Here is a 23,881-nt window from a genome sequence, read left to right as displayed (position 1 = left end):
TACGAACCAAGTTGCTCCTCAAAGAAACCCAGACCCAGAGTAGCCACAGGCTGAGCCTTGACCCCGGCCAGAGACCAGACACCCCTACGCCAGAACCTAGTCACGTGCAGACTCAAGCACGTGGGAGCTCTGACCCAAGCCACCGTGAAACCGTAGCTCTAATTCAAGTCCACAGTCCCTAGAGTCCCAGGTGGGTGGGATCCATGGGCTACATCCCCCAAGGGGAGGAGCCCAGCAGGTGCCCTGAGTATCAAGGTTGTGGCATTAAGGCTGAACTCCTTCTCGACCTCACTGAGCTGTGGCCCCTTACAGGCAGTCACCCCGGGAACCCTGTCGCGAGAGCTCCTCGGGCCTTGTGTCCTAATGGGGCAGGCTCACATGCAGCCTCCTTGGCCCCGTGCCCTGCCCAGACCTGTTCTGGATTCCACCCCCACCCTTCCCCAAGGTCGCTGCCACCTCCCACCTGCCAGGCTTGGGCAGGGCCTCTGAGACACAGCCGGAAAGGCTGGCAGGCAGGAGGGCTGGGGCGAGCACTGGGGGGCCATGGAGCGGGCAGAAGAGCCCGTGGTCTATCAGAAGCTGCTGCCCTGGGAGCCAAGCTTGGAGTCGGAGGAGGAAGTGGAGGAGGAGGAGACATCAGAGGCGCTGGTTCTAAACCCCCGGAGGCACCAGGACTCTTCCAGGTAAGTAAGGGAGGGGTCTGGGCACCAGGCTCCCCAGGCTTGAGGTTGGCAAGTCCCTCTCTCTGGAGCCCCTCAGGGGGACCAGGCGACTCCCCGCTGGGTTTAGCTCCAGGCACTGTACGGTCAATTTGGGGGAAAACCCAGGCTGTAGCCCGAGACTTGGCCTGACCCAATCAAAAGTCTGTGCATCTGGAGGGACATTTGTACCAAGCCAGCCTCTGTCCCATCTGCTGCTTTGTCAAAGGTCCCCAGCCCCCAAGTCCTGGTGCAGGAGGCACCTGCTGGGCAGGTTGGGGCCTGACTACGCCTGGCTGGGCCTGCTCCCCAGCCCCTTCTCTCCTGCCTGCCACACCCCACTGGGCCTCCCTCCCACCTGAGTGGACTCTGCCCCACCAATCTCCCCTCCAGAGGCTCCCTCCCTAGCTAGGCTCAGTTTCCCCAGATGCTTTCCCATCCCCATGTCTGCCCAAGATGCACCCGCTGCCAAGAAGCCCTTTCTCCTTGGCTGACTTGTGCTCCTCTTGCTAAATCAAACCTTTTGGGAAATATTCCCTGGGGTCTCTTGGGGTCCTTGGGCATCCCTCTGTCCCAGCCGTGGCTCAGGACACCCCCCCTCTGCAGGAACAAGGCTGGCGGGCTGCCCGGAACCTGGGCCCGTGTAGTGGCAGCCCTGCTGCTGCTGGCTGTTGGCTGCTCCCTGGCTGTGAGGCAGCTCCAGAATCAGGGCAGGTCGACAGGAAGCTTGGGCTCTGTGGCCCCTCCACCCGGCGGACACTCCCACGGCCCTGGCGTATACCACCACGGTGCCATCATCAGCCCTGCAGGTCAGTCAGTGCTGGGGGCGGCTTGGGGAGGGGAGGGTCAGGGGTCACCAGCCCAGCCTAGCCCCCCTCCTTGCTGCATGACAGTGCCTTCCTTGCTGCAGCCACATGCTCCCACCTAGGCCGAGAGCTGCTTGTTGCCGGGGGCAACGTCGTGGATGCTGGAGTTGGAGCTGCATTGTGCCTGGCAGTGGTGCATCCTCATGCCACGGGGCTAGGTCAGTGACCCCTGACCCCAGACTGCAACCCCAACCCACAGCCTGATCAGTGACCTGGAACTTAGGGAGTCAGTAGCACTGACCTCAAGACTGCTAAGTGAGCAGGACTTAGGGTTTGGGCAGCAGTCCAACCCCAGGCTATGACCCTTGAGCCCGGGTCTGTGGAACTTTGACCTCAGGCCTGGTCAGTAACTCCTGATCCCAGGCTCAGTCAAGGGATCTTGACTGAAACAAGTCAGTGACCCTTGACCTGCGGCTGCTGAGGGACCCCTCTGTCTCCTGCAGGTGCCATGTTTTGGGGCCTCTTCCACGATAGCTCCTCAGGCAATTCCACGGCCCTGACATCAGGCCCAGCACAGACCCTGGCCCCCGGCCTGGGGCTGCCCGCGGCTCTGCCCACCCTGCACCTGCTGCATGCACGCTTCGGCCGCCTGCCCTGGCCACGCCTGCTAGTGGGCCCCACCACGCTGGCTCAGGAGGGCTTCCTGGTGGACACACCCCTGGCAAGGGCTCTGGTGGCTCGGGGCACAGAAGGCCTCTGTCCACTACTTTGCCATGCTGATGGGACACCCCTGGGCGCTGGGGCCCGAGCCACCAACCCACAACTGGCAGCTGTGCTTCGCAGCGCAGCCCTCGCTCCCACCTCAGACCTTGCTGGGGATGCTCTACTGAGTCTACTGGCGGGAGACCTGGGGGTGGAGGTGCCCTCGGCTGTGCCCAGGCCCACTTTGGAACCAGCAGAGCAGCTACCTGTGCCCCAGGGCATCCTGTTCACCACCCCCAGTCCCTCAGCTGGCCCAGAACTGCTGGCACTGTTGGAGGCAGCCCTGCGCTCCGGGGCGCCCATCCCTGACCCCTGCCCACCGTTCCTGCAGACTGCTGTGAGCCCCGAGAGCAGTGCCCTGGCCGCCGTGGACAGCAGCGGCTCTGTGCTCCTTCTCACCTCCTCGCTCAACTGCTCCTTTGGCTCTGCACACCTGTCCCCAAGCACTGGGGTTCTGCTCAGCAACCTGGTGGCCAAGTCTACCACTAGTGCCTGGGCCTGCCCCCTCATCCTCCGTGGCAGCCTGGATGACACAGAGGCTGATGTGTTGGGGCTTGTGGCTTCAGGGACCCCTGATGTGGCCAGGGCCATGACTCACACCCTACTCAGGCATCTGGCAGCAAGGCCCCCTACCCAGGCCCAGCACCAGCATCAGGGTCAGCAAGAACCAACAGAGCATCCCAGCACTTGTGGCCAAGGGACCCTGCTCCAGGTGGCAGCCCACACAGAGCACGCCCATGTCTCCAGTGTCCCCCATGCCTGCTGCCCCTTCCAGGGGTTCTAACAGGATGGGGGTGGGTCTGGCAGAAGGCAGAGTTATCTGAAGCATGGGGGCAGGAGCAGAGCAGACACAGCAGCAATGGAGTGTGCACCCGCAGGGTGTGGTGCCTCACACCTGTAATCTCAGCACTTTGGGTGGTCAAGGCAGGAAGATACCTCGAGGCCAGGAGTTTGAAACTAGCCTAGACAACAAAGCAAGATCTCATCTGTACTAAAAATTTAAAAATTTGCCAGGGGCGGTGGCACATGCCTGTTGTCCCAGCTGCTTGGGAGGCTGAGGCAGGAAGCTCGCTTGAGCTCAGGAGTTCAAGGCTGCAGAGAGCTAGGATCACACCACTGCACTCCAGCCTGGACAACAGAGTGAGAACCTGTCTTTAAAATAATAATAATAATAATAAAAAAATAGCTGGGTGCGGTGGCTCATGCCTGTAATCCCAGCACTTTGGGAGGCCAAGGCAGGTGGATCACCTGAGGCTAGGAGTTCGAGACCAGCTTGGGCAACATGGCGAAACCCCGTCTCTACTAAAAATACAAAAAATTAGCTGGGCATGGTGGCGGGCACCTGTAATCCCAGCTACTTGGGAGGCTGAGGCAGGAGAATCACTTGAACCCGAGAGGTGGAGGTTGCAGTGAACCAAGATCGCACCATTGCAACCCCACCTGGGCAACAAGAGGGAAACCCTGTCTAAAAAAAAAAAAAAAAAAAAGGATTTATTATGTGCTCACTGCTGGCTCAGGCCCCAACCTCTGGCCTTTTAAGTTACCTAGACTTGAGTTCTGGCATCCAGAGCTAACAATCATTCTTCAGATCACCCACACCGGATGGAATCTCTAGCTATTTTATCAGCTAAGAAAATCAGGGTAATAACGAAAAAGCAGTAGGGCCTGGGGCTAGCACTGAGTTCAGATCCAGCTTTCAGGAGGACAGTGGAAAGAGTGCAGAGCCTCTGCCTAGGCCCTGGGCCCCACGAAGCAGGACAGGCAGAGCCCAGGGTACTGTTGGCATCTCTGTCCTTCCCTTCAGGACACCCCTTACCTATCTGCCTCAACCAGACTGGGTACAAAATAAAGATCAAGTCTCCCGGAAACCAAGCACCATTCCTGCTTCTTGGTTAATTTTCCAACAGCTTTTGAAGCAACTGGAGTCAGGGCTTCCCTGATGGGCAGCACAGGTGACCAACAACCAGAGAGGGGAGAGCCTGGGTTGGTATCTTTCAGCTTCCCCCTGCTCCGCTCACCTCCTGCCTCCTGGGGCACCAGATGTGCAAGGTGAATGTTTTCATTTCACTTTCTAGAACAGACAGCAAAGCAGGGAAGCGGCTGAGAGGGTGAGAAGGCGCCCCAGGGGCTTGGGTACAAAGGGGTTGGAGTTGAGCGTGTGGAAATTCAAGGCGAAGGTTAGCCCTGACCTCCCCCAAGGGTTAGGTCCTCTCTGGACCACAGCCCTCTATAAACAGCTTCTCAAACCAAGAAGCGAGGGTGACCAGTAGCAGTTCCCCTCCCCTGCCATTGTAAAAGGCTTCTCTGATTTAATAGACCGTTTGATCCCACCACCTTTACCTCCCACTCCCAAGAAAATTCTTCTCCGTAATGGCACCACAATGTACCCAGTTATTTCAGTCTCAAACCTGGCATCCCCCTCATTTCCTCTCCCCCGACATCTAACTCCATCACCCACCCCACCTGCTCCACATCAGCCCAAATCTGACCTGTTCTCATTTTCCCTGGGTCCAGTCCACCACTATCTCTAAATGGTCTTCCCGTGCTTCCACCTGCGCAGACCTACAGTCCATCCCCCACACAGCAGCCAGCATCATCTTGTTAAAATGTAAATCGGATCCAGGCTTGCCCCTGCATTAAACTCACCAGTGACTTCCCATCACCCTCAGAATGAAATCCCAGCCCGGGGCCCCATGCAGCCTTGCTTCTCGCCAGCCTCAGCCCCTCCAGCCCTGGGTCTCTGTAGTTGCAAGGCTTGGGATTTCGTCCCCTTAGATCCTTGCAGGAGTACGGGGGAGGGGGGCCCTTCTTGTCACTCAGCTCTCATCCCAAATGCCACTTCCTCACAGAGGCCTTCCCTGACCAACCCCTCAAATCATTATTGGAGACCCTATTGAATAGTAATTAGCCGTGTTTTTAACGGGTGATGTATTCACGTTCCAGCACTTAAAAGCCTCCTCCTGACCCTTGCATTCCTAATTCTCTTCATAATTATGATCTTTTTAAATGCATTTGGCTCCGTGTTCCTCCACGAGAGCAGAGGCTTTGTTCCAACCGCCTAGCACGGCACGCCAGCAGGAGCCCAGTAATTGTTGAATGGCTCAATGTTCGGAGCGCAGGGGCCGCTCTGGGACGAGTCGGATCGAAGTGCTACACCTAGGTTTGTTTCCGAGATGGGCCCTTAGAAATGCCCCCCTGGGGCTCCAAAGGGGCAGATGCCACAGCCGCCAGGGCGGAGCGGGTGTGAGCAGAAGGCTGGGAAAGATGGGACGCCGCTAGGCGAGGGACTTCCGCTCAGAGCTACGGCGGAAATGCCGCTCTTTTAACTCTGGGCCGGTCTCTCTTGGTTCCCCCGCCCCTCCGGGTTCTTCCGCCTCCGAGCCGACACAAACCGGTGCGCATGCGCCGTGCCCTGACCTGGAAGCGGCTGGGGCCGGAGCACACGTGTTTCGTGTTTCGGTGAGTGTGGCGGAGATGGAGAGCCGGGATCCCGCCCAGCCGATGTCGCCTGGAGAAGCGACGCAGAGTGGCGCCCGGCCTGCCGACCGCTATGGCCTATTGAAGCACAGTCGCGAGTTCTTGGACTTCTTCTGGGACATTGCGAAGCCTGAGCAGGAGACGCGACTTGCGGCCACGGAGAAGCTGCTGGAGTATCTGCGTGGCAGGCCGAAGGTGGAGTGGCGGGGTCTGGGGCAGAGGCTGCGCATATCCCGGCAAGGAAGCGGCGGCGGGCCCAGGGAGTTGAGACTGGGGGCACGTGGTCGCGAACCTGGATGCCAGGGTGCGCGGGGGCGTGCACCTTGTTGTCACCATTGAACACGAGGGTGTGCTTGGTTCCGCAGGGGTCCGAGATGAAATATGCCCTGAAGCGTCTAATCACGGGACTCGGGGTCGGGCGAGAAACAGCCCGGCCCTGCTACAGTTTGGCCCTGGCACAGGTGAGGTGGTGCTCCTGGCAGGGTCCCAGCCATCCAGGTCAAAATGGTGGGGTATGAGGAGGGCGGGTGTGGTGTCTCAGCTGTGGCGGAGGGGCAGCCCGAGAGAGAGGTCGGGAGTGGCAGAGCAGACTGGAGGCCAACCTGAGGGAGGCCTCTTCATGAAAGTGGAGAAGGTGTGAGCAAGGCCTGGCCAGGTTTTCTATTTGGTGCTTGGGTTGCCCGGCCTCTTAGGTACACTTTCTGGGAGCAGTGAGCGCTGGGTGGGCTCCCTTAGGCCTGCAGAGGCATTCAGCTGATTGGAGTAGACCACTCTCTGAGGCGCCTTGACAAGGGGCAGAGCAATAAAGACCCAGGCCTGCAGGATCAGCCTGAGGGGAGCTCAGACCACGTGCGGAGAGAAGACCCAGTGGCTGAGCATTTCAGACTAGTAATCTAGGGGCCATAGAAGGTACATAGAAGGTGGGACTAGGGACCTGAGGCTTCTTGGGAGAAGTTGAAGGGGGAAGGGAGGTTAAGGTTTGTGAAGACGTAGTTGGGCCACTCTCCTGAACCCTCTTCCTCCTGCCACACAACTCCTGGCAGCTGTTACAGTCTTTTGAAGACCTCCCCTTGTGCAGCATCCTGCAGCAGATACAAGAAAAATATGACCTGCATCAGGTGAAGAAGGTGAGAGTGGGGCCAGGGAGGTCAGCAGCCCCAGGGGTGGGAGGCTTGGGGAATGGGGAGTTCCAGGGCCCCTCATGCCTGTGCCTGGAATCCTTTTCTAGGCAATGCTGAGACCTGCTCTCTTTGCAAACCTGTTTGGAGTGCTCGCCCTCTTTCAGTCAGGTCGGCTGGTGAAGGTAAGAGCTTTGGAGGGACTGGGGGAATGTAGGCTGGCTTGGGATGGGTGGGGGACAGTCGTGTGCCCTGCTCATACCCTCTGTCCCTCTGTGGGGACCAGGACCAGGAGGCACTGATGAAGTCGGTGAAGCTGCTGCAGGCCCTGGCCCAGTACCAAAACCACTTGCAGGAGCAGCCCCGGAAGGCCCTGGTGGACATCCTCTCCGAGGTATGAGCTCCCCAGCTGTGCGGGCCCAGGCAACACTTTGTTACAGAGACATCAAGGGGGCTCGGATGAGAATCTGGAACAGCACTGTTCCATAGAAATACAAAGATGTATAATTTGAAGCGTTTCAGTGACTTTGTTGAAAAGGTAAAAAGAAACAGGTGTCATTTAGTAACATTTAGTGACATTTGACTTTATCTGGTATATCTAAAATATTATTTCAGTGTGCATTGGTATAAAAAAGTGTTGAGATATCTTACACTCTTTTTGTCAGGTGTCTCCAAAATCCAGTGTGTATGTTACACTTAGGCACACCCCTGTTCAGATTAGCCACCTTTCAGGCGCTCAGCAGCCCTGTGTGGCTGTGGCTACCGTATTGGGCAGTGCAGCTCTGGAACTGTGCCTGGCACGTGGCAAGTATATAAAACGTTTGCCATTGTTATCCTGGTCAAGGCTGGCCCCTTGTGGGCCTCCACTGCCCTACTTGGGAAGGTAGCACCCTAGGCCCTTTTGTCACCGAAGAGAAAGGCAGGGGTAGCAGGTCTCCAGGCCAGGGCTTACTGTGCAGTCTTGACCTCAGAGCCAGAAGGACCTGAATTCGAATCCCAGCTCTCCACCTAGGGCTCCTCGTGTATGAAATGAGCTAGTACTCTGAAATACCAAAAAAAGGAATAATTAAAAGGGTAGCTTTGACCGGGCATGGTGGCTCACGCCTGTAATCCCAGAACTTTGGGAGGCCGAGGTGGGCAGATCACTTGAGGTCAGGAGTTCAAGACCAGCCTGGCCAACATGGTGAAACCCCATCTCTACTAAAAATACAAAAATTAGCTGGGTGTGATGGCGCACACCTTTAATCCCACCTGAGGCAGGAGAATTGCTTCAACCTGGGAGGCGGAGGTTGCAGTGAGCCAAGATCACACCACTATACTCAGCCTGGGTGGCAAAGTGAGACTCTGTCTTAAAAAAAAAAAATAAGGGGTGGGGGGCAGGTACCTCCAGGGGCCAGTTAGCGTCAGTGGGATGCTTGTCAAAAACCCCGCTGCCTGGGAATTTGAGTTTTGTTAGCAACTGGCCTCTGATGACTCTGATACCTCACCAGGTGGCCCCGTGTCAGGAGCAGGTAGAACAGGATCCACCAGGCTCACCCCGCAGAGGAAGTCACGATTTCTTCTCCCTCCATCCTTAGGTCTCGAAGGCCACATTGCAGGAGATCCTGCCGGAGGTCCTCAAAGCCGACTTGAATATAATACTCAGCTCCCCTGAACAGCTAGAGCTCTTCCTCCTGGCCCAGCAGAAGGTGCCCTCCAAGCTCAAGAAGCTGGTGGGATCCGTGAACCTATTCTCAGATGAGAATGTCCCCAGGTGTGATGGAGGTGGGCGGATTTGCCCTCCCTGGGGCCAAGGGACTGCATCTGGCCAGGCCCAGATTTGTCGTTTGGCCTGGGGGTGTCCCGGCTGCTCTTGTCACCCTGGCCCTTGCCTGTGAGGCAAGTGTTCCCTGAGTCCCTTGCCCTCCGCAGGCTGGTGAATGTGCTGAAGATGGCCGCCTCCTCTGTGAAGAAGGACCGCAAGCTGCCCGCCATTGCTCTGGACCTGCTCCGCCTGGCACTCAAGGAAGACAAGTTCCCACGGTTCTGGAAGGAGGTGGTGGAACAAGGGCTGCTGAAGATGCAGTTCTGGCCAGCCAGGTGCGGGCGACGCGTGTCCTCTCTCGGCCCCCTTCCCTGTCCGTGAAGTGGGCTAGGCCACTAGTCCTGAGGTTCCCACCAGGGGCACCAAGGGCTCTGACCAGGCTCTGTCCTGCACCCCCTTTAGCTACCTGTGTTTCCGCCTGCTGGGCGCGGCCCTGCCCCTGCTGACCAAGGAGCAGCTGCACCTGGTGATGCAGGGAGACGTGATCCGCCATTACGGGGAGCACGTGTGCACTGCTAAGGTGGGTAATGCCCGTGCAGCTCGACACTGCCAGAAAGGCTAGACGTGGAGCTCTCCCTGCCAAAAAGGGGAGCAGGGCACCTCGGGGGCTTGGCTAGAGCTATGGGTGTCCCCTCCGTCTGGGTAGTGAGCTGCCTGAACCCCTTTCCCTCGGACAAATTTTTTTTTTTTGAGATGAAGTTTTGCTCTTGTCGCCCAGGCTGGAGCGCAGTGGTGAGATCTTGGCTCACTGCAACCTCCGCCTCCCAGGTTCAAGCGATTCTCCTGCCTCAGCCTCCTGAGTAGCTGGGATTACAGGCGCCCAATACCACGCCCAGCTAATTTTTGTATTTTTGGTAGAGACGGGATTTTGCCATGTTGGCCAGGCTGGTCTCGAACTCCTGACCTTAGGTGATCCACCCGCCTTGGCCTCCCAGAGTGCTGGGATTACAGACGTGAGCCACTGTACCTGGCTTCCCTCTGACAGTTTTGATAAAGTCAGGCCCTTCTGCCAGCAGGCCCCCTTGTGGGCATGGATAGCCAGCGGGCTGTTCAGACCTCTCTCCGCCCCCGCCCATGTGGCAGTGATGAGAACAGTCGTCATGACCATGTTTGGGCACCAGTGAGCCTGGTGCCCAGTAAGTGCTGCTGGGTTGACTGTTCTCACCAGCTCATTTTATCTTTGCAGTGAGTTTCAGAGAGCTGTCATTCTGGGTGAGGGGGAGACTTGAAGTATCAGGCAGTGGTTAAGAGCTTGGGTTGGATGGTGGTGCACACCTGTAGTCCCAGTTACTCGGGAGGCTGAGGTGGGAGGATCCCTTGAACCCAGAATTTTGAGGCTGCAGTGAGCCATGATCATGGCACTACATGCCAGGGGCACAAGTCTAAAAAATTGAAAGGAAAACAGCTTGGGCTGTGAAGCCGGACACTATCCCACTGGGAGCCTCTGACCCTGAGAAGTTACCTCTAGGTGTTTTTGTGTCTCACTGTACTCACCTGTGCAATGACAATATTGGCCAACCGCAAAGAGTTGCTAAAAATGCTAAGCTGCCGCCCAAAAAGGCGGAGCGCGGGTGCTGGCACTGAGTAAGCGCGTGAGAGGTGGTTGTTTTTGGTCCCGAAGATGACACGGCTAGGAATTGGCAGCGTGGGCTTTGAACCCAGGTCAGTCTCGCCTCCTAACTACCACTCTGCCCTGCGTTGAGCCAGGAAAACAGGCCATCCCCATCCAGCAAGGCGGAAAGAGGGGCCTTCTGGGGCCGGAGGTGCTGAAGCTGGGGCAGTCAGACCCACAGAGGCCTTGACGCCAGACAAAAGCACTGGGGTGACTGGACTGTTGCAAGTTCAGGCACAGCCTAGCTGTGTACAACAGGAGATTGCCGGGGCTCGATTTAACCTGTAGTGGGCACAAGCCTGGTGGGCTGTTGCCCGCCTGCCCCCGGGCTGTTGGGCTGTTGGGCTGTTGCCCGCCTGCCCCCTTGGCTGTTGGGTTGTTAACCGCCTGCCCCCCTGGGCTGGTGGGCTCAGCGCCATGCCTAACTCTTGCAGCTCCCAAAGCAGTTCAAGTTTGCCCCAGAGATGGACGATTACGTGGGCACCTTCCTAGAGGGGTGCCAGGATGACCCTGAGCGGCAGCTGGCCGTGCTAGTGGCCTTCTCATCTGTCACCAACCAAGGCCTCCCTGTCACGCCTACTTTCTGGCGGGTCGTGCGGTTCCTGAGCCCTCCGGCCCTGCAGGGCTATGTGGCCTGGCTGCGGGCCATGTTTCTCCAGCCAGACCTGGACTCCTTGGTTGACTTCAGCACCAACAACCAGAAGAAAGCCCAGGATTCATCGCTCCACATGTGAGTGGACCTTGGGGGAGGACACCTAATTTAGGAGTTAACTTCCTAGGCCTGCAGAGCCCCGCGACCCAAGCCCGCCCTCCACAGCGTCCTGGCTCTAAACCATGAGAGGAGCGAGGGGGAAGAGCCTTAGCTCTCATATGAGGCCTCAGTTTACTTGTGTGTCCCCACACTGGCGATCGGGATGGGGAGATCTTGGAGTGTTGTCTCTGAGATCAGGCAAAGGAATGTCCTGTTTTTGCTGGTTCTTTTTTTTTTTTTTTTTTTTTTTTGACAGAGTCTCACTCTCTGTGGCCTAAGCTGGAGTGCAGTGGCGTGTGATCTCAGCTCATTGCAACTTCTGCCTCCCGGGTTCAAGCAATCAAGTGATTCTCTGCCTCAGCCTCTCCAGTAGCTGGGACTACAGGCACCCGCCACCACACCCAGCTAATTTTTGTATTTTTAATGGAGATGGGGTTTCACCGTGTTGGTCAGGCTGGTCTCGAACTCCTGACCTCGAGTGATTGGCCAGCCTTGGCCTCCCAAAGTGCTGGGATTACAGGTGTGAGCCACTGGGCCCAGCCTGTTTCTGCCAGTTATAAGTGGCTCACATGACCTCGCCTCCTGCCCCGCTAGGCCTGAGCGAGCTGTGTTCCGGCTGAGGAAATGGATCATCTTTCGATTGGTGAGCATTGTGGACAGCCTGCACCTGGAGATGGAGGAGGCCTTGACTGAGCAGGTGGCCAGGTGCGAGCTGTGCTGGATTCCCAGCTTCCCATGGGCGTGTGGCCAAGGAATGGGGCCCCTTAACTCGTCCTAGTTTGCATCCCCTGGAGCCAGAAGCCTTTGGGTTGAGTCATCAGTGGGGGGCAGGCACAAGGGGACTTGGGAATTCCTCAGGAACCCGTGAAGGGAAGGGGCCCAGGAGGCACCCCAGCTGCAGGGGCCTAAAAGGTTCAGGTGTGCTCTGCGCGCCCTGCAGGCAGCTTTTGCACGTGGGAGGTGTCAGGGAAGCCTTCTGCCCCACACCTGCCTCGTCTGTGCCAGTGCAGAGCTGGGTGCTCACGTCACCCTCAACATGCACGGTTGCAAGAGGGGGCTGTCCCATGTTCGCAGGAGCAGTGACCTGACTTGGCCATGACCACACAGCCTCCCATCTGTTGGTTCCTTGAGAGGGGCACTGACTCTCTCTAGCTCGGGTTAACCCGCGTTCAGCTGGGGATCCAGAGCAGAGAAACGGCCCCTTCCCATCCTAGCCCAGCCCAGCCCCCTCCAGCCTTGCCCGTCAGGCCCCCGAGGACTGTACCCAGGGCAGAAGGGCGGCTCCTCCTCCTCCTGGCCTTGTACCCTCGGTGGTACCATCCAAGGAGGGGAGCCTGTAAAAACCAATGGCAGTGAATGGCTATGGCCACTCTCCCACCCTCCCCAGGTTTTGTTTGTTCCACTCGTTCTTTGTCACAAAGAAGCCCACATCCCAGATCCCTGAGACAAAGCACCCGTTCTCCTTCCCTTTGGAAAACCAGGCCCGAGAGGCTGTCAGCAGTGCCTTCTTCAGGTGAGTCTTGGGCAGCCCAGGAGAGGTCCGAAGGTGGGAAGGCCTTGAGGGCGCCTGCTCCCTCCAGGTCCCCTAAGCTGGGAACAACGGCAGAGGCCCCCGGAGTTCTAGTAGGTCCTGGAGAGGCGGGAGACCGAGCCCTGGGGAGGGCGGAGGGAGGCGGCTACATTGACTCATCTGGTCTGCTGACCCCAAGCCCCATCCCTTGCCCAGTCTGTTGCAGACCCTCAGCACGCAGTTCAAGCAGGCACCGGGCCAGACCCAGGGTGGGCAGCCCTGGACCTACCACCTGGTGCAGTTCGCAGACCTCCTGTTGAATCACAGCCACAACGTGACCACCGTGACACCCTTCACTGCGCAGCAGCGCCAGGCCTGGGACCGGTGAGCACGTGGGATTTCCAGGGGGTGGGCAGGACGCTGCAGTCTGACTGGTGCAGGGGCCTGGGAATCGCCTGTCTCCCCGCAGGATGCTGCAGACTCTGAAGGAGCTGGAGGCCCACTCCGCAGAGGCCAGGGCTGCTGCCTTCCAGCACCTTCTGCTCCTCGTGGGCATCCACCTCCTCAAGGTACTGGGGCCTGGGAGGGAGGGGCTGTGAGCCTGGGGTTCTATGGCACAATGGGCCCCCTACCGAGAGGCTTTTGAGGGCTGTGCGGGTTTCCAGGAAAGGTTCTGGGGGAGTTAAGTTGGGAGGTTTTTGAAGCCAACTTTGTCACAGGTGGAAACATCCCTCCGGCCACTTAGCGGCACCAGCTGGTGTCCTAGGCTTTCCATGCAGGATCTCGTAATCCCCACAGCTTTGAGGCAGACACCCCCTCTCCATGTTTGACATGGAGAAACTAAGACTCAGAGGCAAAGGAGCTTGCACTGTACCCCCTGCTGTGGGAACACCTTCTGGCAACGGGCTCTCCCGCTCGGTTCTTCCCATCAAGAAGCCCTGACCACATTCGAGGCTCAGTACCCTGATTTCTTTTGAGTTTTCTTCTCATGACATAAGCTGCTCTTATTGGGGCTGCTTTAGGTCTTCTGTAGCCTGAGTAGGTGGGTCTCTTGCTTGCTCCCGTCTGGCCACTTGACTGTGGTTGCCTTACTTGCCAGCTTTGGTTATTCTGAGCCCAGCATGTGGATGAGCTGTTTGGGGAAAGGTTGGCCACGATGCCCCTTCCAATTCTTGACGTCAGGCCTTTGATAGCAGCAGAGTCCTGGTGATTCCAGGACACATGTGGAGCCTGCCCCCAGCCTTGGGATCTCCGAACTTGACTTGGACAGAGGAGGCTGCAGTTTGCTGTGTCAGAGCCTTAGATAAAAGGTGCAGCCCTGGCCAGGCTCGGGGCTCGCACCTGTAATCCCAGTACTTCCGGAGACCAAGGCAGGTGATCACGAGGTCAGGAGTTCAAGACCAGCCTGGCCAACAGAGTGAAACCCCTTCTCTACTAAAATACAAAAATTAGCCAGGTGTGGTGGCAGGTGCCTGTAATCCCAGCTACTCAGGAGGGTGAAGCAGGAGAATTGCTTAAACCTGGGAGGCGGAGGTTGCAGTGAGTTGAGATGACACCACTGTACTCCAGCCTGGGCAACAGAACAAGATTCTGTCTTAGAAAAAAAAAAAAAAAGGTGCAGCCCAGAGGAGGACGGGGACCTGCTTGGGCACACAGCCTGGGAGCCGGAGAGCAATGACAAGGGCTTTGGGCTGCTTTGTCCCACCCTGGCCTAAACGTTCAAGCTGCCGACTGCATTATGAGGGGAAAGTCTGCTTTTTAGGTACCAAAGATCACACAGTTTTCAAGAGCTCCTGCACACGCACATGCGCACACCACGCCACCTCACTCGAGTCTGGGGTTATCCCCAGTCAGATGAGTTCAATGTAATTAAATTAGTTAAAACTAATGACTTTCAATTCTGTCTCTCATGCCAAGCCAAGCATGGAGGGAATAATCTAGAATTATGAATTGGGGGCTGGGGCTTGCTGGCTTCTCTGGGACCCTGACCATCCTTGTCAGGTTCTGCCTTTCTTGAGTGTCCAAGGGGGAGTTGGACTCCTTGTCCCCTTCAGGCTTTTGGATCCTGTAACTGCGTATTAGGTGTGAAAAAGCCGTCAGCTAGCTGGGCGCGGGGGCTCACACCTGCAATCCCAGCACTTTGGGAGGCCAAGGGGGGCAAGGGGGTGGATCACGAGGTCAGGAGTTCAAGACCAGCCTGGCCAACATGGTGAAACCCCGTCTCTACTCAAAATACAAAAATTAGCCGGGCATGGTGGTACACGCCTGCAATCCCAGCTACTTGGGAGGCTGAGGCAGGAGAATGGCTTGAACCTGGGAGGCAGAAGTTGTGGTGAGCCGAGATCAGACCACTGTACTCCAGCCTGGGCAATAGAGCGAGACTCCATCTCAAAAGCCCTCAGCTCTTGGGGTGTCCAGCTGGGGTCTTCTGTTCTGGATTGTGGGGGTGACTGGCCAGGGCGGGCCAGTGGCTGGGTGTTGGAGGCTTCTTGATGCCACTGCTGCCATTTGGCCAGCCCCTTGCCTGGTTTAGAAGGGCTGGGGACAGGGCCTGGCCCCAGTGTGTGTCCTACCCTGCCCGCAGTCCCCTGCAGAGAGCTGTGACCTGCTGGGTGACATCCAGACCTGCATCAGGAAAAGTCTGGGAGAGAAGCCCCGCCGGAGCCGCACCAAGACCATCGGTGGGTCCTTGGTCACGAGAGGGACTAGAGTGGTGGGGTGGGGCCAGCGGTCCCCTATCCGGGCTCAACCCCTCCCTCTTGCAGACCCCCAGGAACCCCCGTGGGTAGAGGTGCTGGTGGAGATCTTGCTGGCCCTGTTGGCCCAGCCCAGCCACCTCATGCGCCAGGTGGCCCGGAGCGTGTTTGGCCACATCTGCTCCCACCTGACCCCGCGTGCCCTGCAGCTAATTCTGGATGTGAGTTGGGACCTTTGGGAGTGGAATGTGGGCTGGGGCTCACTGAGCAGCGAGCTGCACCAGGGGTGCCGCTTCAGCCTCCAGCCTCCCTGCCGGGAGCCTGCGGCCGGTGGGAGGGGTCTCAACGAGGCCTTGGCCTGGCCTGGCCGCCTCTCCTAGGCTCCGTTTTCTTCTGGGAAATGGAGGTCTTTGGTCAAGGCTGAGTGGGGCCTGGAGAGGAGGGCGGGGGCTGCAAATGGGTCAGTGGCTGGCACCCCTCCCCAGGTGCTGAACCCCGAGACCAGTGAGGATGAGAATGACCGTGTGGTGGTGACGGACGATTCTGATGAGCGGCGGCTGAAGGGTGCAGAGGTGTTGCCAGCATGGGCCGGGCGGGGGCGGTGGGGAGTGGGACGATCGGGGAGGTGTGTGACGCGCCTGCCTCTACCACACAGGACAAGAGCGAGGAAGGTGAGGACAACAGAAGCTCAGAGAGTGAAGAGGAGAGCGAGGGGGAGGAGAGCGAGGAGGAGGAGCGCGACGGGGACGTGGATCAGGGCTTCCGGGAACAGCTGATGACCGTGCTGCAGGCTGGGAAGGCGCTGGTGAGTGGGGGAGGTGGAGGGGGGGGCGGCCGGGGAGGGCTCGGGTGTCCCCATGTTGTGTGCCTGCCCGAGGCCTGGCTGACCGCTGGGCCTCTGTCCCTCAGGGTGGAGAGGACAGTGAGAACGAGGAGGAGCTGGGGGATGAGGCCATGATGGCCCTGGACCAGAGCCTCGCCAGCCTCTTTGCCGAGCAGAAGCTGCGTATCCAGGCCCGGCGAGACGAGAAGAACAAGCTGCAGAAGGAGAAGGCTCTGCGGCGCGACTTCCAGATCCGGGTGAGCCTGGGGGCGGGCCGCACCCACCCCCGCCTCCCTGTGCGCCCACCCCCGCCTCCCTGTGCGCCCACCCCCGTGTTGCTGACCTGCCCTCCTGGCTGCAGGTGCTGGACCTGGTGGAGGTGCTAGTGACCAAGCAGCCCGAGAATGCCCTGGTCCTGGAGCTGCTGGAGCCGCTGCTGAGCATCATCCGGCGCAGCCTGCGCAGCAGCAGCTCCAAACAGGAGCAGGACCTTCTGCACAAGACGGCGCGCATCTTCACGTGAGCACGGGGGTGCAGGGCGGGCAGGTGTGGCCGGCAGCCCCCAGGCGCAGGAGAGCCAGAGCTCTAGGCTTGCTGTCTGCACAGGAAGGAGAGAGCCAAGCTTCCAGCCTGGGCCCCTAGCTCGCAGGCTCACTGCTCAGCCCTAGAGGCACACGTCACTTAGTGATTCCCACAGTCCTTGCTTCATCCCCGCGTTCTCCCGACACAGTGCCAACAGTGCCCTGGAGCTGGGGTCCATCCCTGCCCTTGACAGTCTCAAGTGGGGCTGTGCCAACAGTGCCCTGGAGCTGGGGTCCATCCCTGCCCTTGACAGTCTCAAGTGGGGCTGTGCTGGGGTGGAGGGGGACAGTGGGTGCACCTGTGGCAGGGGACACCCAACCCAGTCCTCGGAGGTGTAGTGTGCATGGGAGTTTGTCAGGCTGGGAGGCCTTGGGCAGGGCAGAAAGGGAGGAAGAGCATCCTGACGGGAGCTGGTCAGACACGCAGCTGGAAGGTCAGGCAAGCAGCGAGGCCACAGACCCCCGCACCCTCGCAGGCCCTGACCCTAGCGGTGCTGGAGGCCACAGAGGCATTATCAGCAAGAGCAGTGGCGTGGGGAAGGGTCTGAGTCTGGTTTGCCTTTTCAGAAACGGCTGGCAGCGTGGAGAAGGGTTTGGGAGGGGCTGTGCTGGAGGCAGAGGGCCCAGGAGGGAGGCGGTGGCAGGCGTGGGAGAGACAGGCAGGCACCTGGTAGACCTGCCTTCAGAGCTCAGGTGCTGGGGAGGTGAAGGCCTGGGAGCTGGGGCGCTGCGTGGATAGTCAGGAGGGGTGGGGAGTGTGACTGGCAGTGCATTCTTCACAAACCCAGGCCCGCCCGGGCCACGCCTTCTCAGATAGTTCTGCCAGCGTGCGTGGACAGTGTCGTTTGTTGAGCATCCTGCCTCTTGCCCCCATTATATCCCCGGCCCTGCAGGGCCACAGAGGGTTCTAAGCACATGAACCCTTGTCTCGCTTTACAAAAGGCCTGAAGGCCACTGCCCCATGAGAGACAAGTGTAGACAGGAGGGGTGCCCCAGGCAGGCAGTTGGCCCTTGGTGCAGCCTCCACTCAGGGAGCTGTTCTGTTCTCCCCTGGAGCGCCCCTGTCACCCCAGCACTCTGAGCCCACACAGCTTCCAGGCAGCCTGCAGGCGGCCCTGGGCCCTCCTCTGTGGCCTGGGTCGCCTCTGTCGTCTTCTAGGTCTGTTTCCCCACTTATAAAGTGGGACTTGGGTTGGCTCTGCTTGGCGGAGCAGGGTGGACCGAGAATGTTCTGACCAGCTCTCGTCCTCACCACCCACAGGCACCACCTGTGCCGTGCCCGGCGCTACTGCCACGACTTGGGTGAGCGCGCAGGGGCCCTGCACGCCCAGGTGGAGCGGTTGGTGCAGCAGGCTGGCCGCCAGCCCGACTCCCCCACCGCCCTCTACCACTTCAACGCCTCTCTCTACCTGCTCCGGGTCTTGAAGGGCAACACTGCTGAGGGCTGCGTGCATGAGACACAGGAGAAGCAGAAAGCTGGCACTGACCCCAGCCACATGCCCACGGGCCCGCAGGTGAGCAGGGCCTGGCCCAGGAGCAGCCCCAGGCATTTCACAGCCAGGGAGTGGAGGCCGGGACTTCCCCAGGGCCCAACCCTCAGCCTTCTGATGAAGGTAGGCCAGGCTCTGCTCCCATCCCAGGGACCCCTCTCCTGGCCTCACCCAGCTCGCTCTCCCCTGGCCTAGGCTGCCAGCTGCTTGGACTTGAACCTGGTGACCCGGGTGTACTCGACAGCACTGAGCTCCTTCCTGACCAAGCGCAACAGCCCCCTCACAGTTCCCATGTTCCTCAGCCTCTTCTCCCGGCACCCGGTGAGTGTTGGGGCCTGCCCTGCTTCCTCATGGTCCCTGCTCAGCCCAGCCTGCACCTCACAGCCCTTGTCACTCCCCACCAGGTGCTCTGTCAGAGCCTGCTCCCCATCCTGGTCCAGCATATCACGGGCCCGGTGCGGCCCCGTCATCAGGTGAGAGACTTCCCAGCTCCCAGCCCAGGGCCTGTCTGAATTAACCCGCTTAACCCTCTTCTGACTGGATATTGTGAGGCCCCAGAGCGCTGTCCTGGTGAGCACGGGCACAGCTGTCCCTGCCCCACTGGCTTGGCTGTGGGTACATGGTCTCTGAAGGGGGTGGCCGTGCCCTGGCCCCTGCCACACAGTGAACACACAGGAGCTGAGGGGGCAGGGCCAGCCTCACTCCCGCAGCCACTGCTGCCCATCTGGCCACACACAGGATGCCCCTGGTAGTGTCTGCTCTGGTGCCAGGGCTGTTGGGGGCAGGCTGGAGGAAGATGGCACTAAGCCAATAATGGGCAGGAATTGTCCCAACCTGAGGTCCCACCTCTATCCAGCTGGGAGGCCTTGGTGTCCCCACCTGCACACAAAGGCACAGGAGCAGGTAGTCACAGAGCCCAGAGCAGCAGGCAGCCTCACACGCTGCCCACAGCAGTGCCCAGCGGGCCCCCGAGCCCTCATGCATCCCTGAGCCGTGAGCACCCAACGTGCCAAGGCTCCTGCCACCCACCTTTGCCCACCCACAGGCCTGCCTGCTGCTCCAGAAGACCCTGTCCATGCGGGAGGTGAGGTCGTGCTTTGAGGACCCCGAGTGGAAGCAGCTGATGGGCCAGGTCCTAGCAAAGGTCACCGAGGTAACAGCCGGGGGGCGCCCTTTCCCCACCCCCTCAGAATCAGTTCTCCGGGAGACCGATCTCTGGGAAAGAAGTGAGGATTGGAGCCTGAGTCCAGAGTCGGGAGAACTGGGGTTGTCCCAGGAGACGGTCCCTGCCTCTGGGCTTTACTTCCGGCTGGGAAACAGAAAGGCTTTGAGCAGCTCTCCGGAGTGCCTCAGCCTGGCCACCCTTCCCTAGAACTTGCGCGTGCTGGGGGAGGCGCAGACCAAGGCGCAGCATCAGCAGGCACTGTCCTCCCTGGAGCTGCTCAACGTTCTCTTCAGGACCTGCAAACATGAGGTGAGGCGGGGGCCCAGTCCGCGGTCGTGTTCGGGTTCCTCTTGGGGGCCTTGGGGCCTCCCGGCCAGCAGTGCCATGCCCGGGCTGGACTGCAGGGATGGGGGTCATGTGGGGAAACTTCTCAGTGCCTGGGCCAGGGCTCTGGGCTGCCATTTGGGCAGTTACCAAACCATGGATGGGTGAGTGACTTGGGAAGGGACTGTGCCACCCTGTCCTCCTCCTGCAGGGCGGGGTGAGAGGGGGTGGGGTGGCACTGCCACATCCCGTGAGAAAGCCGAGAAGGGGCTGGCAGGGCTGGAGACTGTGGAAGGGTTGGAGAAGATTCAGGGTGAGCAGCCAGGTTTCCAGGCCTGGTACAGGAGTGTGGGCAGCCATCAGGGCAGGGCTGGGAGGCAGCTGGAGGTGGCCATCTGGGTCCCCCGGTCTGGCCCAGAGGGCGGGGTTTGGGAATCTTCAGCATAGGTGCTAGTCAGCCCTTGTGGAGGGAGAGCTTGCCAAGGGGGTGCTGGCAGGCAGAGGCGGGGCCCGGGACGGGGCCTTACAAAACTGGCTGATAGTGAGGAAGCCAGGAGAGCAGGGCTCCCGGAAGCTGGCGGATTCCAACAATAACCCATTCAGGATGTGCAGGAAGGTGGCAGGGTTGGGTGGGGAAGCGCTTTGGCAGCCCCGCGGTGATGGAGTGCTGGGGAGTGGCCCTCTTGGAGGTGGGTGGGCCCGGGCCACTGCTGGAGGGGAGGACACCGAGACTCTGAGACCAGGCCTTTGGCTATGGGAAGGAGGAGAACCAACACCTGGGGCGCGTGTTTCCTCCCTCGGTAAGAGACACGGATGACTTAACAGGCAGAAGGAGAGGCTGAGGCCCAGGAAGGGGCAGGGGTCACTGGTGAGGCAGCAACAGGGCAGAGGTGGGAAGACTGGGAGCCCGCGAGAGGCCCCGCCCTCTGTGGCCCCACAGCTCTGCCTTCCCACCCTCTGCAGAAGCTGACCTTGGACCTGACGGTGCTCCTGGGTGTGCTGCAGGGGCAACAGCAGAGCCTACAGCAGGGGGCACACTCCACCGGCTCCAGCCGCCTGCACGACCTCTACTGGCAGGCCATGAAAACCCTGGGAGTCCAGTAGGTTCTGGGAGGGGGACACACACCTTGGGTAGGGGCTGGGAACACCCTCACGCTGCTGCACACACACACACGCTGCACACACGCTGCTGCACACGCACACTGCACACGCATGCTGCTGCACACACATGCACTCAAGCGCATTCTCAGATGTGGGAGCTGTAGGACCCTCACAGGACCCTCGCAGGAGCCTCGCAGGACCCTCGCAGGACCCAGGGGCCTCGCAGGACCCTCATAGGACCCTCACGGGACCCTCATAGGGGCCTCACAGAACCTAGGGGCCTCAGAGGACCCTCAGAATCCAGGTGGAGGTAGCAGTCGCGGTGGCGGTGGCTGCTGCCCTCGATGGGCACCTTCTAACCTTGCTCACTTCCCTTCAGGCGCCCCAAGTTGGAGAAGAAGGATGCCAAGGAGATCCCCAGTGCCACCCAGAGCCCCATCAGTAAGAAGCGGAAGAAAAAGGGATTCTTGCCAGAGACGAAGAAGCGCAAGAAACGCAAGTCAGAGGATGGCACGCCAGCGGAGGATGGCACACCTGCAGCCACCGGCGGGAGCCAGCCCCCCAGCATGGGCAGGAAGAAGAGGAACAGGACAAAGGCTAAGGTCCCAGCCCAGGCAAACGGGACGCCAACCACCAAGAGTCCAGCCCCTGGCGCCCCCACCCGGAGCCCCAGCACCCCTGCCAAATCCCCAAAACTGCAGAAGAAAAACCAGAAGCCGTCCCAGGTGAATGGAGCTCCCGGGTCCCCCACGGAACCTGCAGGCCAAAAGCAGCATCAGAAGGCTCTTCCCAAAAAGGGGGTCTTGGGCAAATCACCACTGTCCGCGCTGGCACGGAAAAAGGCAAGGCTGTCTTTGGTCATCAGGAGTCCCAGCCTGCTTCAGAGTGGGGCCAAGAAGAAAGCACAGGTGAGGAAGGCAGGGAAGCCCTGAGCACAGGTACGGGCCCCCCTCAGCCCCTGCCTCCATCTGCCTGAGACGCCTATTTTTTTTTTTTTTTTTTAAACCATGATTTTAATACGCAAGCTGTTTCTAAGGCGCTGCCACTGGGGAGGGTGGCTGTTGCCGCCTGCCCGGGCATCCTGCTCTGGCAAGCACAGCCTGAGCCATTCCTGCAGGGGTCCCAGGGTGCAGAGACCTCCCCACCCCCGGTTCTGGGCTGGGACCCTGGCTCCAGGGCCATGTCCAGGGCTCTGGTGTTTGCCTGGGTTGGTGCAGGTTGATGTGCTGGCTGCAGGCAGGTGTGACCATCTCTCGTGCCTGCCACCTCTTTGCCCCCAGGCTTTTTTGCTGTGAGGGAGCCACCAGGGGGTGATTTAAATAGGTTTATTTCTTCATTTACAAGAGGAATATATTTGGCTTCTCTCTTAAGACTCTGAGATTCACAATCAGCAGCTCTAAAAAATAAAGGAGCAGTTTGGCTTCCGGAAGGAAGAGGAGGCAACACTCGGACCTGGTTCTTGTACAACAAGAAAACATCGCTGGGGCCCCGCTGAGGCTGGAGTGGGGGTGGAGGCTGGTCTTTGGAGGATGCCACCCCCACCCCATCCTCTTGTCAGGCCCTCGGGGTACCCCAGAGCTTGGTGGGTGAGTATTCCACCTGCTTACACACCACTGAAGCCACAGCCAGCCAGTAACTAAGGGGCAAGAAGAGCATTGTCCAAGCTGGCTCTTGGGGGGTCCCCCATTGGCCACAAGGCCTCACCCCCCACCCCACCCCCGCACCAGAACCACCTTGATTGCAGCAGAAGTGCAGGGAGTGGGTGACGCAGGGGGCTAAGCTCCCCCAAAGCGGGTTGGGGCTGGTGTGAAGTTGGCAGCTGCATCCTGGTGTGTGCATGGATGGGAGGTGGGTGATCGAAGGCCTGGCCCCCCCCTGGGGTCACTTGGTGGAATGCCAGCAGCCAGTGTTTGGGTAGGGGCCGCCTCTCCCGGGGCCTCAGCCTCAGCTCTGGGGCAGGAAGCTTTGTGGATAGCTGCTTCCTCCAGCAGCCGGAGCCCTGGCTACTGCCCCATGGATTCTGGGAATGGTCTCCTGGGCCCTGCCCCTGGAAAAGGCTCAGCTCAGCCTCGGGGAAGGAGTGGGGTCCTGGCTTGGGGGGTGGTGGCAGGGAGAGAAGCCCTGCAGAGTTGGGCTGGTGTGCACCTGCCAGAGACCTTGAGCCTGGGGGCACAGGTGGTGTACAGCTGCAGCCAGGGCCTTCACCCCTGGTGATGCCAGCTTGTCAGAACAGTCCCCATCTGGGACCTCCAGGCTGGGAGCCAACCCGAGACAGTGAGACAGTGTCCTCCAGGGAGTACCCAGAGACTTGGGCGCCCAGCTTCATTTGCCAGGTTGCGTCCAATATCCCCAAGGTCCGAGGCCCAGCTGAGCAGTGGTCCCTGCATACCAGGCCCTCGCGTGAGCCTCAAAGCCGGGACTGCCGCCCTGAGGCCTGGGCCACCTGCTCTCCGTATGGTCCAGGGTCTGTTGAGTCTTCAAAGCTGCAGATCGTGCTTTGCCCAGCAAGTTGTGTGGGAAAGTCCAGCCCCCTGGCCCTTCGTTCCAGGGAGGGCAGGGACTTGCCCAAGATCACATAAGCTGGTGGCAGGCCAGGCTCTCCCCGGACACCCACTTGGGGCTGTCTTCTTCCTTGGCCCCAGGGGCCCTGCGGCCCAAACCTAGGGCTGGGAACCTGTCCAACCGTGTGGCTCCAACACACACATCCTTCCAGGGTAACTGAGGACACAGCCTCTTCTTGATGCCAGGGCCACTCAGCAGGCCTGGGCCAGAGAGGGTGGGTGCCTAGCCGTGGATCACACAGAAAGCTTTGGGGCAGCCCAGCCGGTCCCGGACGCTGTAGGACACCTCCCAGACGAGGTGGGAGTGTGGGTTCTTCATTGTCCCAATGGCACCTGGGGAAAGGGGTGTCAGGTCAGCAGTGGGGCTTAGTGGGGCCTGTGCCAAGGCTGCCCTCCCTCCTTCCCTTTTCTTGCTGTTTGGAGACGCAAGCCTTCTCCTGGACCTGCAGCTGTGACCCTGGGTCTCGTGCTGCTGGGAAGCTATAACTCCCAGAGGGAAGGGCCAAGGAGTCAGGCCCTGGTACATCCAGGAGGATTTGGGAGAACAGAAGTCCGGACAGAGTGAGGAGTTCCTGGCCAGTCCTGGCCCTGATCTATGCGAG

The 23,881-nt window shown here is 59.7% G+C and overlaps 3 protein-coding genes across 20 annotated transcripts in view, besides 1 other annotated feature; 2 read left to right on the top strand and 1 right to left on the bottom strand.

Annotated features, from left to right (window-relative positions):
- The first annotated feature begins 487 nt into the window (after nt 1-487).
- Nucleotides 488-4,925, top strand: GGT6 (gamma-glutamyltransferase 6). 11 transcript variants are annotated; one of them, XM_047435337.1, is made up of 5 exons: nt 488-683; nt 1,305-1,507; nt 1,627-1,722; nt 2,598-3,406; nt 4,174-4,925. In XM_047435337.1, the coding sequence occupies exons 1-4, from the start codon at nt 544-546 to the stop codon at nt 2,753-2,755; spliced, it is 597 nt and encodes a 198-aa protein (XP_047291293.1). In that variant the 5' UTR covers nt 488-543; the 3' UTR covers nt 2,756-3,406; nt 4,174-4,925. The 11 variants fall into 11 exon arrangements, with proteins under 11 accessions (XP_047291293.1, XP_047291291.1, XP_047291290.1 ...); XM_047435335.1 differs by having other exon boundaries at nt 2,008-3,406; XM_047435334.1 differs by having other exon boundaries at nt 1,609-1,722; nt 2,008-3,406.
- Nucleotides 5,681-22,161, top strand: MYBBP1A (MYB binding protein 1a). Of its 5 annotated transcripts, NM_001105538.2 has the most exons (27): nt 5,681-5,938; nt 6,109-6,204; nt 6,787-6,870; nt 6,972-7,046; nt 7,148-7,255; nt 8,439-8,614; nt 8,773-8,940; nt 9,068-9,185; nt 10,712-11,007; nt 11,623-11,733; nt 12,416-12,541; nt 12,755-12,922; nt 13,008-13,107; nt 15,123-15,219; nt 15,304-15,455; nt 15,720-15,806; nt 15,890-16,039; nt 16,144-16,314; nt 16,419-16,576; nt 17,900-18,152; nt 18,324-18,449; nt 18,533-18,601; nt 19,174-19,281; nt 19,501-19,602; nt 20,581-20,717; nt 21,098-21,626; nt 22,090-22,161. In NM_001105538.2, exons 1-27 carry the CDS (start codon nt 5,741-5,743, stop codon nt 22,123-22,125), a joined length of 3,999 nt encoding a protein of 1,332 aa, NP_001099008.1. In that variant the 5' UTR covers nt 5,681-5,740; the 3' UTR covers nt 22,126-22,161. The 5 variants fall into 5 exon arrangements, with proteins under 5 accessions (NP_001099008.1, NP_055335.2, XP_024306304.1 ...); NM_014520.4 differs by having other exon boundaries at nt 21,098-22,161; XM_024450536.2 differs by lacking the exon at nt 20,581-20,717 and having other exon boundaries at nt 21,098-22,161.
- Nucleotides 9,654-9,823: an enhancer, noted in NCBI's record as "active region_11543". NCBI's record gives its function as "activates an Ori minimal core promoter by ATAC-STARR-seq in GM12878 lymphoblastoid cells {active_cell/tissue: GM12878}" and the evidence as "EXISTENCE:reporter gene assay evidence [ECO:0000049][PMID:35858748]".
- The window catches only part of SPNS2 (SPNS lysolipid transporter 2, sphingosine-1-phosphate), a 40,155-nt gene continuing 38,303 nt past the window's right edge, over nt 22,030-23,881 (bottom strand). For all 4 annotated transcript variants that reach the window (XR_007065260.1, XR_007065261.1, NM_001124758.3 and 1 more), the window contains one exon: nt 22,030-23,612. The gene's annotated coding sequence lies outside the window, so the exon portion shown is untranslated. The remainder of the gene's footprint in view (nt 23,613-23,881) is intronic.

The sequence above is a fragment of the Homo sapiens genome, chromosome 17, assembly GCF_000001405.40.
Source record: "Homo sapiens chromosome 17, GRCh38.p14 Primary Assembly".
In the NCBI taxonomy this organism is placed as follows: domain Eukaryota; kingdom Metazoa; phylum Chordata; class Mammalia; order Primates; family Hominidae; genus Homo; species Homo sapiens.
The sequence above is the reverse complement of the archived record's forward strand: the minus strand, read 5'-3'. Positions and strand labels throughout refer to the sequence as shown.

Excerpts from the sequence above, each read along its gene's own strand:
- GGT6 (XM_047435334.1), top strand. The coding sequence starts at position 544 with ATGGAGCGGGCAGAAGAGCCCGTGGTCTATCAGAAGCTGCTGCCCTGG. Across the intron at positions 684-1,304 it reads AGGCACCAGGACTCTTCCAG|GAACAAGGCTGGCGGGCTGC; the intron begins GTAAGTAAGGGA and ends CCCCCTCTGCAG. Across the intron at positions 1,723-2,007 it reads TCCTCATGCCACGGGGCTAG|GTGCCATGTTTTGGGGCCTC; the intron begins GTCAGTGACCCC and ends TGTCTCCTGCAG.
- MYBBP1A (NM_001105538.2), top strand. The coding sequence starts at position 5,741 with ATGGAGAGCCGGGATCCCGCCCAGCCGATGTCGCCTGGAGAAGCGACG. Across the intron at positions 7,047-7,147 it reads AGTCAGGTCGGCTGGTGAAG|GACCAGGAGGCACTGATGAA; the intron begins GTAAGAGCTTTG and ends TGTGGGGACCAG. Across the intron at positions 20,718-21,097 it reads ATGAAAACCCTGGGAGTCCA|GCGCCCCAAGTTGGAGAAGA; the intron begins GTAGGTTCTGGG and ends ACTTCCCTTCAG.